The 17,342-nt window shown below is 43.5% G+C and overlaps 1 protein-coding gene across 11 annotated transcripts in view, besides 1 other annotated feature; it reads right to left on the bottom strand.

Moving 5' to 3' along the window:
• CREB5 (cAMP responsive element binding protein 5) overlaps positions 1-17,342 on the bottom strand; it is a 526,574-nt gene that overhangs the window by 291,178 nt on the left and 218,054 nt on the right. The gene's annotated exons all lie outside the window — the stretch shown is intronic.
• Positions 10,744-10,793: an enhancer, noted in NCBI's record as "active region_25797". NCBI's record gives its function as "activates an Ori minimal core promoter by ATAC-STARR-seq in GM12878 lymphoblastoid cells {active_cell/tissue: GM12878}" and the evidence as "EXISTENCE:reporter gene assay evidence [ECO:0000049][PMID:35858748]".

Here is a 17,342-nt window from a genome sequence, read left to right as displayed (position 1 = left end):
AGATGGTGTCTGAAAATCCAGGGTTTTTAAACAAGCATAAGTGAAGGAAAGTAAGGTAAATGAAAGAGGAAGTCGAGATGAAGAGAAGGAAATATTATCTGAGACTCCTGTTTGAAAATTCTCATGTTTGGAGAAAAGTGGCTGCAGAAGAAGTGCCCTGTTACACTGGGATGCTGGCTGGAATTGTCATCTTGCTCAGTAATAACTCTGAGAGGCCCCACGATTACAGGAGGGATTGCCTCAATTGCTACATAGCTTACAAGATGTTTTCCCTTCAGCCTAAGGCAAGGGGTCCACCCAGCCCTTCTCCTCCACTGGGAGAGGGAGGGGCTGAGCTGGAGAGGGCTCGCGGGGGAGGACGCAGGGTGGGCTGAGACACAGAGGCCAGAGCATCTATTGCCCTTCCTAGAAGGCAGGGCCTCCTCATCCTACTCAATAAAGACTTCCTTGTTTTTCAGCACACAGAGTAATCTCTGAAAGACTGCACTCCAATTTGAAAATGAGCCAAGAGCCAGTGGGAAATTCTCCAGCAAATTGCACAGGGAGACAATAATACGAAGGGCAAGTGGATCAAAGCGTCCTTATTTTTTTCTTCTGGAAATTCCTATTCCTGAGGCCTGAGGCCCTGTGGGTCTGAGACTCTTCCCCCCAGTGTTGTCAGGATCATAGTGTTCACAAAATAGATACAGATTTGCTTTTCCAGGGTTGGGATGACAGGATCTAGGTTCTCAGAACATAACTGAAAATCAACTCATGTCAAAAGTAAATGTTGGAGTCCTGCATATGCCCTGTCATTCTGACTCATGTTTACACTTGGTTTTTATTTCAAAAAAAGATGTTAAGCCAGCCTATGTAGCACCATTTAGGAGAAGAGGAGGAAGAAGAGGAGGACAAGGATGATTCCCCTCAAGAGCTCTGACTTGGGATGGGAACCTCACAATATATTCAGGTTTGGTTGCTGTATCAAGAAGTAAAAGAATTTCAAGCTCCTTTAAAACAGAAGAGGAGGCAGCCTCTGCCCAATACAGGACTGAGCTCATTGAAAACTTCTCAGAGGACATGATGTAAAATGGAGAGCTCAAAAACCCGTAAAAATAACCCTTAGCCTTTTAGAAATTATAAGTGGGGAACTTAGTTCTTACCCAGTAGAATTTTAAAATGCTATGTCCTTCCGGAAATCCTGTGGTGCTTTCTGAAATGACTTACTGACAGTATGACTGAAGTCAGTGTCTCCATGCAAAGTGCAGGTACGCACGACAGGAAAGGACAGCAACTGTGCGGGGACAGGTATGGTCACCAGAGTGTCCATGTGTCTTATGGCCCGGAACAAGTTATGCGGTCTCGCCATCCCTTCTGTCACTGGGGACAATTACTTTTTTTCCCTAAAGTTTATGATGTCCACATGTTTATAAAGGTTAAGGGAGGTAGATTTAAAAAGTCTGGTCTTGCTTCGTTACACAAGCTTTGACTTCCCGTTTCCTTAAAGGCTGGCTCTTTCTTTTTTTCTTTTTGAGATGGAGTCTTGCTCTGTTGCCCAGGCTGGAGTGCAATGGTACGATATCGGCTCACTGCTACCTCCGCCTTCCAGTGTGCACCACCACACCCGGCTAATTTTTGTATTTTCAGTAGAGACAGGGTTTCACCATCATGGTCAGGCTGGTCTTGAACTCCTGACCTCATGATCCAAGCCTGGCTCTTTCAACAAGCATCCTATGTCTCTAACTGTGGGACATTTTATGTCATAAGTGGATCTTCCCACTCCTGTGTTCTCACATCTTATTATGTGCTAAACACAGTTCTAAGTTATTTCCCACAGTAACTCTTGTCTAAGGGGTTGGTGCTATTACTGTTATCCCATTTGACAGATGAGAACACTTAGGGTGAGAGGTATAGTAACTTCCTATGATTACATAGCTGGCAAAAGCTGGGATACAAACATAGATCTTTTGGCTTGGAATTCTGTGCTCTTACCACTATGTTATCCTGCTGATCAAATGAACAAAGTTCTTGCTTTAGCCTAATGTGTTTGTAGTTGTAGTAAATAAAATATACCAATTTTCAATTACTTTGTTAGTTCCTTTTTCTCCATTTCCTTAAAAAACAAAAACAAACAAACAAACAAAGAAAACCTTCCGATCCACGAGACCCGAGGCACTGTTGGTCTGGGACTCTTTCCCTCTGAAGTTGTCACGATGACACTGTTCACAAAGTAGAGGCAGATTTGCTTTTCCAGGGTTGGGGTGCCAGGAGCTGTATTAGATCTCTGGATAACAATTTTGCAATGCAGCTGCTGCATAACAAATTACCACAAAATTTCGTGGCTTAAAACAACATTTATTATCTCACGGTTTCTCTATGTCAGGAATTCAGCAGCAGCTTAGCTGGATGGTCCTGGCTCAGGCACTCTTATGAGGTTGCAGTCAAGATATCAGCCAGGGCTATATTCATCTGAAGGTTTGACCGGGACTGGAGGATCTGCTTCCAAGATGAGTCTCTCCTATAGCTGTTTGGCAGGGGGCTTCAGCTCCTGGCCACGTGGACCTCTCCACAGGGCTGCTTGAGTGTCCTCATAGCATGGCTCTGGCTTCCCCAACCCCTACAGAACCCTGTTTCACAAATGTTGGTGTCTTGCGTTGAAGTAATAATTTTCCACTGACAAAGTTTTAGCCTCAGTTTTTATTTATTTTTTGAGACGGAGTCTTGCTCCGTTGCCAGGCTGGAGTGCAGTGGCACAATCTCAGCTCACTGCAACCTCCGCCTCCTGGGTTCAAACGATTCTCCTACCTCAGCCTCCCGAGTAGCTGGGAGTACAGGTGCGTGCCACCACACCCGGCTAATTTTTTGTATTTTAATAGAGACAGGGTTTCACCATGTTAGCCAGGATGGTCTCGATCTCCTGACCTCGTGATCTGCCCACCTCAGCCTCCCTAAGTGCTGGGATTACAGGCGTGAGCCCCCACGCCCGGCTAGCCTCAGTTTTTAGTTAGGGTCTCCATACCCCTCTCTGTTGGCCTGGTTTCAGAATTCCTATGTAAAGTAAAAGTTTAATGAGTCTATGAGATGGTGTTACGTGTTGCATTGTATCCCTCCTTTTCAAATTCATATATTGATGTTCTAATCCCCAGGACCTCAGAATGTGACCTTGTTTGGCAACAGGGTCATCACAGATGTAATTAGTTAAGATGAGGTCATTCCGGAGGAGGGTAGGCTCCCAATCTATCATGAGTGGTGTCCTTATGAAAAGGGGAAATGTGGACACAGACACACACAGGATGAACACCATATGAACATGAAGGTGGAGACTGGAGTGATGCATCTACAAGTAACACCAGAGATGGCCAGCAAAACACTCGAAGCCAGGAGGGAGGCTTGGAGCAGTGCCTCCTTCAAAGCTCTCAGAAGAAATCAGCCTTGCCAACACCTTGATCTCGGACTTCAAGCATCCAGAGCTGTGAGGCAACACATTTCTGTTGTTCTAAGCCACCCAGTCTAGGGTACTTTATTACCGAAGCCATGGGGAATTAAGAGATGAAAAGAAAAAAAAACCTAGAGACCAAGAGACTATATAAGACAAGCAGGCCTGGTTACTTTGCACCCATGGATTGACCATGGGGCTTTCCCCAAAACATTATATTGTGCCTCTTCCCCGCCACCCACTGGGAAAAAAAAACAACATTTGACCTTCAAAAAGCACATTCCCCAGTAAAACTGGCAAAAACTCAGAATAGACAGTCAAGGTTTCCTGATCTCACCCAAGAAAATGGAAATTTTATTACATTCCACGACCACAAGGTTTTTCCTAAGCTCATTAAGCATATTTTTCCCGCAGAAGATCTTGTCTTAATAAGGCCACCACTATCCCTTTCCTCTGGCCTCCATCATCAGCCAGGATAAAAGGCAGGACTGCGGGTGGAGATGAGTGGGGACTCTAGAGAGTTCCAGCACTGCTTGTTTATTTTGAGACACACTTGCGCTTCTACTTGGGCCATCACAACTGTGGTCAAAGGACTCGGAATCTGAAGAACACAAACAAAGCTAACTATGGCGAAAAGCCAGGGTAAAGTTTTCTTCAGCAGCGTAGAGGGAGGGCCATTTTGCATAGCCTTTTATATGATAATCGCAGCTCCTTCATCTGTATTGAACTTTGCAGCAAGAAGGAAAAATAAATAAGGCTGACTAATGGCTTGTTTCCCCAAAGGCAGCTTTTTATGGGATCATATGTTTTTTCAGCTTTTCAGTCACAGTTTCCTGCCTGGACATTAGGAGCCCTTGACATTGGCTATGGCTTCGTGCACCCTGGACGACAGCCCAAGCTGCCCCTGAGCAGCTCGACTAGGGTCCAGCTGGACCACGGCCCCTTCCTAGGTCTCAGTGATGGTGAACCTTGTTCCCTTTGATAAGCTGCACACAGCAGCATGTCTTTCAACACCTTCCAGGTCAAGCATGGCTCCTCTTATCTGACGGGCGAGGAAAACCAATGTGGGTTGGATCAGAAGCCTGGATCCGGAGCCTGTGACAGTGTGTACCAATTCAAAAGCAATCACAAAAGCGACTCTGAATTGCTTTTGCTCCTGTTCTATTCACCACTGCTCCTTCCAAAGTCAGAGGGGACTTTTAGAATTGGGCAGTCTTGAGTTTAAATCCCAGCTCTGCCATTGGATGACTAAGGACAAATAGCTTAATCTCTGAGTTCATTTCTTATCAGGAAAATTATAAGTGATAAAACCTGCCTCATGGAGCTGTGATGATAAGAGATAATTTTGCAAGATATCTGGCAAATAGTAGGTGCTCAGTAAACAATAGCTGGTGTGATTATCAGGTGTCCCAAATAGCCTCACCGTAGAAGAAACTTTCCTGGCAGATTAACGTATAGAAAGGTAAAGCAAAGTGTGTTGGAGCTGAGCATGTCTTGAAGTTGGGTTGAGGAAACAAACAAGCAAAACATGACAGTCTTCCAGCTGTCTCTGTGCAGCTTTCACTTGATTTCCCCACATTTGGGTGGGAAGAAATTATTCTGGAAATCCTTCTGACTTGCTCTCCCTCTCAGAGGGCCATAGAGCAAGGAAATCAGGTTGGGAAGAAGAGAGACAGACAGTTTTTGTTCTTTATTTTCCCACCTTGGATTCTGTGTTTGAGGGAATGAAGGGGTTGATTAAAAGGTACCACCCTCTTACTCTTGAGTAATTGCAGTTTAATTATATTTAGGCCAGTGGTTTTATCATGTTAAATTTGGGGAGAAGGCACAAGATGAGTCATGGAAAAATTTTTGATAAAATTGTGGAAACTTGGGACATCTGTGATTTTCTTTCTCTCGTCTCACTCCTTCCCTACTTTCCTGGCCCATCCTTTTCTGCCTGCCAACAGGGTCCTCTGCAGGGAGCACAGGGAAGTGCTTCCCACCTTGGCACCTCCTTCGGGGCTTTGGCTATTGCCTGAGTGGTCAATTAGCAGAGCTCCATAGTCAGTGACCACTCTCGTGCATTCTTGGGTGGAAAAACTGGAGCCCAGATCCCTCCAGGGGTCAGCTGGTCTCCAGAACCTCCAGATGTAGCCCAGCAGGCCACAGGAATAAGCAACAGACACCAGTTGTGCTCCAGGTCATAGCTTTAGAGTTGCTCCCACAGAAGAATCAGGAATCTGTTGCTGTTGCTTTTCCTCATGAATCACATTCTTCCACCTCCAAGTTTGTTGCCTCAGAAGGACTGGTGTGTCTCCTTGGTTATGAGGAATCATTGCAAAGTCAATTGATGTTCTACCCTCTCATGACCTCTCCAAGGTCCAGCCTTAAAGCAACAAGGTTAGGATATCCCGGAAGTTGTGGAAGCCACCAGAGAGATTCTGAGATAATGTTCAGAGTATGGCCAAAGAAGGGAAATAAATATCATATTCTTCTTTAAAAGTGAGAAACACACCTATTCTGCATTGGCAAGCCTTTTTTTTTTTTAACCTAAAACATTGGTTAAGGTAATAACAATTATAATCACGCTCTTTTTTTTTTTTTTTTTTTTTTTTGAGATGGAGTTTCGCTCTTGTTGCCCAGGCTGGAGTGCAATGGCGCGATCTCGGCTCACTGCAACCTCCACCTCCTGGGTTCAAGTGATTCTCCTGCCTCAGCCTCCCGAGTAGCTGGGATTACAGGCATGTGCCACCACACTTGGCTAATTTTGTGTTTTTAGTAGAGACAGGGTTTCTCCATGTTGGTCAGGCTGGTCTCCAACTCCCAACCTCAGCTGATCCTCCCGCCTCAGCCTCCCAAAGTGTTGGGATTACAGGCGTGAGCCACTGCACCCAGCACATACTCATTTGTATAGCACACTGAAGTTTACAAACTGCTTTCACATAATTGAGAATTGAAATATTAAGCATTCAGGATGTCACAGCATCTTCAAACACTATCCTTTCATCATGAAATATTCCCCTTGACAATTACAGAGCAATTAATGCCGACTCAGTGATAGCCTATGTCAGGAAGATCTGCTCACTTGCACACAGGTAGAAGCGATGGGCCCCAAGTTTCAAGAAATCTTTGGACTGTACATTCAAAGTGTCTTGAAGTGTCAGTACATCCCAAGAAAGTGTGGGTGCAGCAAATGTCAGCATAGCTCTGGCCTGAACTAAACAAAACATGCTTTCCATTTAGTAAGTATATTCTATGTGCAAGGCAATTTGCTGGACCCGCACATGTAATTGTGCCCAAACCTCACTATAACTTTGCAAGGTAGATAAACATGGCGGCTCAGAAAAAGTTAAATGACTTGGTAAGGCCACGTAGCCAGTAGGTATGGATAGCTCAAGCTCTTTCCATTACAGTGGTGCAAAGTAGGTTCCACAAGATCCTGGCTTCAAGAAAGGAATAATATGAAACAAACAATAAGTATATTTCACAAGAGAATTTTTTTGAGACAGGATCTCTCTCTGTCACGCAGGCTGGAGTGCAATGATGCAATCAAAGCTTACTGCAACCTCAAACTCCTGGGCTGAGACCCTCCTGTCTCAGCCTCCTGAATGGCTAGGAATACAGGCATGCACCACCATGCCTGGCTAATTTTTTAAAAACTTTTTTGTAGTGATGATGTCTCACCATATTGCCCAGGTTGGTCTTGAACACCTGTCCTCAAGTGATCCTCCTACATGAGCCTCTCACAGCACTGGGATTACAGGCAAGAACCACTGCACCTGGCTGTCAAGAGAATTTTTAGACCAGTGGTCTTCAAAGTGTGGTCCCAGACCAGCAGCATCAGCATCATCTGGGAACTTGCCACAGGCTGGACAGAGTGAATTGGTCCAGAATAGGGCTTCAGAATTTGTATTTGTAGCACAGTCCCAGGTCACATTGGTAATTCCAATGCAGCAAGTTTCTCAGGAGTACTGTTCCAAAGAAGGCATTTGGTAAGCACTGAGATAAAAGCAGTTGTATGGCACTGATCTTGGAATATTCAGCTTCAGTAACAACAAGAAAAGCAGGATGGGTTCTTACTGGGCAAAGAGTTGGTCTTTCAGCTTTTGCTTAGGAAGGAGTGATAGTCATGGTGGTTATGATAGACCCAAACTACTTCTTGGATGTTGGAAAAGCCTGCTAAGGCATGGCTCACTGCAACTAACCAGGTTTTCACTAAAGGGTGTATGTCATGTCTCAGCTCCAATTCCCTGATGAGTTGTCCTCCTCAGATACACAATGGAAAAGTCAAGGTTCTGCCACCCACCCTTGGTTTAATATTTCACTCTTCATAAGGGGTGTAGAGTATGTGTCCAGGTGTCCAGCACCTGCTGTCACAGGATTAATAAAAGATGGATGAATTAGATACCATGAGTACAGGATAGAGGACCTCCCTGGGTCTGTGACATTTCTGACAAAGAAAGAAAACAGGAATGAATGATTATACCATTCAGTGCCTGTGCTCCAAGCTGTTTGGGGCCTGTGCACAGACCCCTATCCCAGGAGGACAGGATCACCAGGCAGGCAGCACCTCTTTTGTGCACAGTCGGCCTTTCGGCTTCTCAGCGTGGCCAGTCCATGTGGCTGCACAGCCTGCTTTTTCCAGGCAGTTCGAGTTTGCCTAAACCATGGACTCTGCTTTGATGGTAAATCTTCCCAAAGCAAGGATTTATTTTTCTTTCCCAACAATGTTCTGTAGTAACCAAAACTCTGGTAACCCTAAACAGCCAGACACAGCAAGAAGCACGTCTTTCCAGGAAGTTACTTAAATGCCACCAAAGAAGGCAAAGTAAGATGGTATAAGCAGGATCCACAGTTTAGAGGCTAAGTAACTGATGAATAGGTGAATGTGTTCCAAAGATGATAACGTTTCACTTCAATTTGTCCCACGGGGACTTCTATTATATTGCTCTGAACATTTTTTTCTGACCTGGAAGTCAGCCTACCTAACATCTGCCAAACCTTCCTAAAAATAAATACTGGGCATACTGCATTGCCTAGGTTGTAAAGCAAAACTTTGGGGAAGCCCTTGGACTTTTGATTTATATAATAATCACCTGTAACAACAGAAAGATTATTTCCTGCTCAGTATGGATCATAGACACTAACCCACCTCTGAGTTTTGACTAAGGCTTTTGGAAGGTTTTAGTCTCTGGGCTCACTGCAGTGATGAAAGGGATTTCTGAGTCACAACCACCACCTAAAATCCAGGGAACATTATGAGTGTAGAGTATTTGCCTAATTTCCCATCCCAGATTTGGCGCTGAAATCTCAGCAGTCTCTGATTCTTGGATATACATCCAGTGAAGGGAAAGAGAATTAGAATTATCGAGAACCCCTGAATACAAGCTACAGTACTTTATATATGAGGTTTCATTTATCACCACATCATCCTGTGAGCTAAGTAATTATTATTGCCATTTTACAGATGAGAAGACTGAGGCTTAGAGTGTTAGGTTAGTTAACTAAGACCTGCCATTGATATCTACCACTCTCCCCATCATACACACACAGACACACACACATACACACACACTACTGGATTAGGAAATCTTTAGCTTATGTCTATTATATTTATGGTACAAAATATTTGTCACACCTTATTATAAGTGCCTGTGGTCTGAGTGGTACCTTACTGCATGCCAATGAGAAGACATACAAGTGTCCAACAGATACATTTTTTTTCAAAATGCTCACCATCACTAATCATCAGGGTAACGCAAATCAAAACCACAATGAGATATCATCTTACTTCAGTTAGGATGGCTATTATAAATAATAATAATAATAATAAATGCTGGTGAGGATGTGGAAGAAAGAGAATTCTTACACACTGTTGGTGGGAATGTAAGCTAGCATAGCCACTATGGAGGACAGAATGGAGATTTCTCAAAAAAACTAAATATATAATTACCATAGGATCCAGCAATCTCACTACTGAGTATTTATCCAAAGGAAATAAAACTAGTTTATCAAAGGGATACCTGCTCTTCCACATTTATTGCAGCACTATTCACAATAGCCAAGATATGGAATCAATCAAATATTCTATCAATAAATAAGTGCATAAAGAAAATGTGGTATATATACACAATGGAATACTACTGGGCCCTAAAAAAGAAATCCTGTCATTTACAGCAACATGGATGGAACTGAAGGTCGTTACGTTAAATGAAATAAGCCAGGCACAGAGAGATAAATATCATGTGTTCTCACTCACTTGTGATGCCTAAAATGTTTATCTCATGAAGGTAGAGAGTAGAATGATGGTTACCAGAAGCTGGGAAGGGTCGGGGGTGGGGTTCGGGGAATGAAGAGGGGTTGGTAATGGGCACAATCACACAGTTGGATAGAAGAAATAAGTTCTACTGTTTAATAGCACAGTATGGTAACTATAGTTAACAACAATATATTGTATATTTCAAAATAGTTGGAAGATTTGAAATGTTCTCCAAAGAAATGGTAAATGTTTAAGGTAATAGCCTAAATAACCCTACTTGATCACTACATATTCTATGCATGTATCAAAATAACACATCTATCACATAAGTGTGTACAAATATGATGTATCAATTAGAAAATTAAATAGATAAAAAGAAAAATTAAAACTCACAAAAACGGTTGAATGAATAGAAGCATTTCTAATTAAAATTCTTCTTGCTTTCAATTCAAGATTCTCTACACAGCATGGCTATTAACCAATAACTATGTTATTAGGTATTTTTATCCTCAATAATTCTAGCTCTTTCATGAATTGGCAAATTTTTCATTCTTTCTTTGAGACAGAGTCTCGCTCTGTCACCCGGGCTGGAGTGCAGTGACACGATCTCGGCTCACTGCAGCTCACTTCCAGGTTCAAGCAATTCTCCTGCCTCAGCCTCCTGATTAGGTGGGATTAGATGTGTGCCACCACATCTGCCGTGTGTGTGTGTGTGTGTGTGTGTGTGTGTGTGTGTGTGTGTGTTTAGTAGAGGCGAGGTTTCACCATGTTGGCCAGGCTAGTCTTGAACTTCTGACCTCAAGTGATCTGCCCATCTTTGACTCCCGAAATGCTGAGCTCACAGGCATGAGCCACTGCACCCAGCCAGCAAATTTCTTTAAAAGGAAGTGTATACTAAAGCTGTCTAAGAGACATCTTACTTCAGAGGTAGAAAGCACTTCAGTCTTCCTTGTCTCAGATAAACCAAGTGATGTAATCTTGTTCAGTGAGGACATTCATTCACTATTACATGTTCATTCATTCACTCATTCCAGTAATTCTTCACAGAGCTCCTTCCACGTGTAAGGCAATGGTGCTGAGAATGACAGGTGGAGACAGGCAGAGCCCTGTGATAACATGGCTCACAGTCCCAGGAGGCAGTTTCAGCAAATATCAAAACACAAGGTAGGAGGTGAGGTGTGCCATAAGCAGTGCTGAAAAAGCACTGCAGGAATTCAGGAAAGATCAAGATTGCATCAGGTGAGGGGAGATCAGAGAAGGCTTCATGGAGGTGGCAGCTGACATGAGCTTTCATGCGTGGATTAGATTCGGTCAAAGATGAGGGAAGAAGACCTTGCAAGAGGAAATAACTGCATGGGCAAGCACAGCAAGGTGGTGAAGCCACAGAGCAGTTTCAGGGAGGATGGCTTATTTCATTTTCCTGAGCAGAAAAGACATGAGAGACAAATGAGAAAGAAAACTGGAAAATTAAGTTGGGGTCAGAGCATGAAGAATACCCAGCTAAACTGAGTAGCCACCACCAATGCTGTTTCTACTGTACACACGATCCCAGAAGAGTTTAGGACCCATCAAAAAAGCCAAACTTTCCTTTATATCACTAGCAGTTCCTCTAATAGAATGTAGCCTTGGCTCCTGACCCAACTAGCACAGCACCTGGGACACATTAAGACCTCAATAAACGTTTTTCGATTGAATTGGGAGAACATAATGGGAGTATTCCCAGTGGTAGAAGCTGGGCATAGGTATAGGGAGGGTGTGTGGCAGTTTCCTTTAAGAGCCAACATTTAAACAAATTAATACATAGCACGGCTTATATACCAGTAATTAATCTTTATCCCACTGCCAAAACTCCTATGACACCCAAAAGTGATGGCATAGCAACTCCCTGAATCCCAAGGTTATGCCCTAAGAGACCCAGGGCAGTGCTCACCCAAGCGTGCTTTCCTCAAGGCAGTCATTCAAGCAGACATTGGTCTTTTAGAATCTAATATAGGTTCCAAATACCTCTTCACTCACCAAATGTTCATTTTACTCTAGGATGGTGGCAGTCTGTACAACCAGGCACAGAACAAAACACCTCACAGCGAGTGGATGTCTCTCACAGAACTCTGGAGATGAGAGGATTCCCATGCTTGGTTGGGAACTGGAATTACGCATCTTGGTGAGCAGAGCAGTCGTGGTGGGTTACATGCCTTTGGTGGCATTGAAAAGTGCATTACGAAGAAAGAGCAAGCTACCTTTCATTGCTAGGTTTCAGGGCCAGCCACGCTGTCTCTAGCCACATCTGCAGAATGTGGGCAAATCCAGAGCTAAGACGAAGCTCAACAGAAGCCTTACGAAGGACTTTTAAAAGACAAGGTATAGCCAGGCACGGTGGCCTCACACCTGTAATCCCAGCACTTTGGGAGGCTGAGGCAGGCGGATCACTTGAGGTCAGGAGTTCGAGACCAGCCTGGCCGACATGGTGACACCCCATCTCTACTAAAAATACAAAAAAATTAGCCGGGCATGGTGGCACATGCCTATAATCCCAGCTACTTGGGAGGCTGAGGCAAGAGGATTGCTTGAACCTGGGAGGCGGAGGTTGTGGTCAGCAGAGATTGTGCCATTGCACTCCAGGCTGGGCGACGGAGTGAGACTCCACCTCAGAAAAAAAAAAAAAAAAAAAAACAAAGAGCAGGATATAGTCAGTGCAGTCAAGATATTTTCATGTGTTTGTCAAGGTCAAGCATGGCTTGATGTTCTGCAAAAGCTTCCACCGGACATTTTTTCAAGTAAATTATATTAAAATGCATATGCACACAACGAAAGACAGGAAGAAGCATCTGAAGTAGCGGGAAACACACTAATTTCCCAGCAGACAGTCCTATATACTCAATCTGCAACTTACTAGCTTCATGACTTTCAGCAAATTATTTAAACTCTTAAGCTTTAACTTCTCATTGTGTAAAATGGGGGCAAAAACATCTATCTTCTAGGATTGCTATGATGAACGGGGATAATATAAACAAAACTTCTAGAACGGCACCTGACAAATAGTAGGAGCCCAAGGAATGATGGTGAATTTTATTATTACTAGTTTATAATCTCAATTTTAATAATGTGATGTTATATTTCCCCACTATGTCTAAATGTGTATAAAACAGGCTTTTCATTTATCTCTCTCTTGGAAAGTGTGAGTTGGAAAGACTAGAAGTCATATTAACATAACTCAACGTAATCCTATAGGATAAATTAATATCCTTTCCTAACACATTCTCCTGGCACACAAACTCTCTGTGCACTTAAAAACAGCCCTTCTGTATCTGGTCAGAGACACCGTATTGTGCAGAAGTACCATGGAAGTGGTTTGAAGAATGCCAAGTAAGATTGGCATATACATGACTTCCCTGTAGAAGGTTAGTAAGAGCTATTTGCTGTTTTAAAATCTATTAAATACAGGGATTGAAGCAGTAGAAGGGTTATAAATAAACAATAAATCATGCAATTATTACTGTTTGAATTTTGGCAAGATAATAAAAAGAGCAGGGGTATAATCAGGAAATAATAGAAAAGATCTGCAAGGCACCCCTGCAATTAGTGATAAACAGAGCTTGGCTCAGAGTCGGAGCTCCAATGTGGCTCTCATTAAAGAGCCTTGGGACCTGTTCTTGGGGCAGACCTCCGCGAGCCTGGGGAGAAGTGAGGTAACCAAAATGTCAGTGCACACCCTCTTCCAACTTCAGATAATCTTTTCCTACAGTATTATAACCACCTGGGCTGAAATGACTACCTTATGCCAAGTGAAGACCAATCCACGGCCTTCCGAAACTCTAATTGAGATGTTTCCTGTTCTCAGCTTTTTTACTCTTTCCTTTGTAATACCATAAACACACACACACACTTATACACACGTGCACAGGCACACTTGCATGCCCACACACACACATGCACTGTGCAATGGGTGCCTTGGCTCATTTTTGCCTCCCCCTTTTCTTTTGCCTTTATTAATGGTACCTCTTAAGGAGAGACTGCCCCCACACAAGTGATACCACTTAAACAGATAAATAGTCTACACTGGAGAGACCCAGAGCACAGGAGAAAAAAACCCTGTCTTATTAGACTGGAAACAGACACACTATATTAATGCAAAAAAATCAGCATATGGTTCTAATAGGCTTTCTTAAAATGATTTATCAGCTGTGATTAAGCCCTCAACCAGCCTGTCTATCTTCATAAATAAAGCAAAAGTGCACCTTGCTCTAAAATGTATCTGCAGTATCTTATTACCCAACCCTGTACACTGTGCTCCATTTACAACACGGCTCTGGGGAGCCAAGAATTTGTGTGCAATCACAAAGTGTGTGCTCTGAAGAGACTGCCAAGATTTAGAACTCTTATCTCAGAGATAGTCTTTCTAAAAATCCTTTACAATGAAGGTTTATCCCCTCTCTCTGTGCCACAGAGCTCGGCATTGCTGAAATATGAACAGGTAATTAAAAGGATATGCCTGATTTTACAGTCAGCCCAGTGACACAGAATCACCAAACAGCCGTTGGGAAGGGGATTTGGCCCTAGGAGCAAGTTACCTCTGCCAGGGAGTTGCAGGAAGTGGGGATCACTTCAGAAATCAGACTTGGTCTCTTCTTTTCCACGGATAGGAAAGGAGAATGCAAATATGAGTAATTCTTGTTTGGACCTCATGCCCCAACTGGCTAATATGTCAAATGGTCTCAGTGACAAATGTGAAAGGGAAGAGGCCTCCCAAAAGCCTGAGGCAGGAGGATGCGGAGACAACTACGAAGGAGGAAGTTGGCATAAGTGTGTGAGCATAGCAAGTTATAAACTGATGTTTAAAAACTGACCTGAGTCAGCTAGTTCATACTGAAGGAACACGGCTCTATTGAAGTAGTACCTACTTAGCCTTTGATGAAAAGCCAGTAATCCAGGCGGATGAGCTGAACCCATACCACGATGCAACTAAACAAAGTATTTTAGTGGATCAGTTCCTTTCAAGCCATTCCTAGCACACACCAAAGCACCATTCCTATTTTCCCTTCTAACACCAACTCATGTGCAAAAATCAGAGACACACATGTCCTTCTTTATGAGTTCTTGTCCATTTTCAGTTTGGTTTAATGCACATATGTGAGCTCTCAATGCTTTTTTATAACAACAAACCACTGTTACGTGATTTGGTTATGTTTGTTTGGCATCCTGAGATTTTGCCAAAAAGCAATCAAATTTAAGAAGAGCAAAATGTAAAATAGAAGAGAAAATAATGCTGGGAATATTCCGTCAGTGTTATTAACAGATGTTTTTCCTGCGAAATACACCAGTACATTGTATAAGTGCAGCACTGAGCAGTTGTGGTCTATGACTGTCGCATTCAATTAGAAGGACTACTTTAATGAGGTCAAAGTAGTGCCTCTCTCCCACCATCACAGACTGCACCCCTGGCCCTGGCCAGCTGTCTTACAATATGTGCCTCTGGTTGCAAGGAAGTCTATGGGAGGGCACGTGTGTTTAGATTTGTGCAAACCCATTACCACCAAGGGTAAATCAACTCTAAGTTCACCTCCAGCTTATGGGTAAATCAGTGACGCCATCTTCAAAATCAAAGGGCAGCAGGTAGTTATACTTTGATAGCAATTATCTGTTAAAGCTGGTGTTGGATTGAACATTATAAGCAATTTAGGTATAATCAGAATGTCTGCCAGAACTTCCCAGAAATTGGCATGAAATTGTTCCCAAAGTCTGAATTCCCAACTTTGCCTAAAACATATACACATGTATGTTGTAATACATGTGCCTAAAACATATACACATGTATTGTTGTAATACAAATAAAGAAAAAAATCTAGCAGAGATCTGGATCAAGGAATTATTTCCTTACTGCTGACATGCAGGAAAAAGACGCCTCTTCCAGGCAGCAATGTCACAACGGTGTAATTGTCTCTGTGAACGTGGAGTTTGGATTCCTGTTTCCTGCTCGCTTTTTGGACACTTCTTGTAGTCAACATCAGAAAGAATGTTCAAAGTGAGATGCTCTAGTGATGTATGAATCTAACAACCCCTACCTAGGAACCAGTTTTAATGTCAATTCTTCAGATCTTGATGTATTCTAACTTCCTGTGTTTAGAACTTCAAAGTTGTCAAAAGGCCCATTTTACCAGTGAGAAAATAAAGTCATGTGTGACTTTTAGAGAGCGATGGAATGGAGCTGACTTCTTGCCCTCGTCCTGAGTTCAGACCACACTCCAAGTCACATCCTCACAATCCACATGGGGGGAGTGTGGATCGCACAGGAAGTGTTTGGAGGCCACTTTCAGGTGGCCTGGCAGCATGGGGAAGAGCTCTTGGGCACGACACACTGAGAAAGGGGTTGCCAGAATTCTGGGCCATCTTGTTTCCCTCTAGCCATTTGGAGACCAACCAAGTGGGGTTACAAGGGTGGGACTCGCATGCCCACCACATTCTAGAGCACTGAGAAGCCCAGGCTTCCTTATCCAAAGGCTTGTTGCTCTGGTTAGAGAGCAATGGACAGGAATGCCTGGGCCAACCATGCCAACAAATTCAGCAATAACCTTATGTTCATAAATCCTCTGGGAAAGTTCCTAAGCTCTGTGCATAACAAATCATGCTGGGAGAAGGCAGGAAGGGGACGACTTCTTTGAGAGAGGCTGTGATTCAAAAATGCCCAGTGCTGCATCACCTGTAGTCAATCAGCCTGACATTCACACAAAACACGACTGCTTTTCTTCTTTGGGGAAGTGACTGCTTGCAGAGCCTGAATAAACCCCCACCCAAACATAAAGCCCCAGAAAAAGGCTGTGCCCAGCACCAACTCAGGCAGGATTCGGTCAGCACTATGATTAACTTTCAAAGTTTTCTTAGAACAGATGGTGTATTCTGCACATACCTCAGATCTCAAGGGCTCCGCTGGCTGCAGCCACACTAAATCCAAAATATGAAGTCCTCATTTTACAGAGAGGACTGGGAAGCAAGCTGCTCCCCCACCCTCAGCACCAGACAATGAAGGGAAAGCTTGCAGGTGGGACAGCCTTCTTCTAGCTTCAAAACTCTCGAATAATAGCTCGAATGTTGTCTTACAAAATGTCATCATACACACCGGTCTCATCCTGCCAGCAGCAAGTGAGTTCTATTAGCAAATTTGTGCTTAGAGGAGATGCTGAAAGTAAAGTCCTTTTGGAATTCTGCTTCACCCGAGAACCAAACAAGAGGACTGGACTGGTCACACAGAACAGAGTCACAAGTTCTAACAAACTGAACAATAGCTTTGACTATCCCAGAAAGCAAAGCACAGAGGGAAACCTAACAACAGTCAAGCAGAGAAGCCTGCGACAGATATTCCACTGCAGACAGGAGGTGCGTGGCCACCCAAAGAAAACAGCCTAGCCTCCTCACCAACCCAACCGGCTTGTAAGCCCCACCTGGCTCACCAGAACAACTAGTTCCAAAAAGTACATGAACATAGGTACCAGTAATTCAGGGGGGAAAATCCACCGTTTGATCAACTTTCCTAAGTCTTTGGACTTTGGTGGGACTTGGGTGAAGAACAAGGGAAATGGCCCTGCATGGTTCTGATACTAAAATCAGTCATCGTACCACAGGTTTGAGTTGACAGCCAACGTGCTGGAAATGCAGATGGGAGGAATGCTCGGAATCCCAGTTCTGGCCTCAGAC

This window comes from Homo sapiens, chromosome 7 (genome assembly GCF_000001405.40).
Source record: "Homo sapiens chromosome 7, GRCh38.p14 Primary Assembly".
NCBI classification, from domain to species: Eukaryota; Metazoa; Chordata; class Mammalia; order Primates; family Hominidae; genus Homo; species Homo sapiens.
Note: the sequence above shows the minus strand (reverse complement) of the source record. Positions and strands in the feature narration are given on the sequence as shown.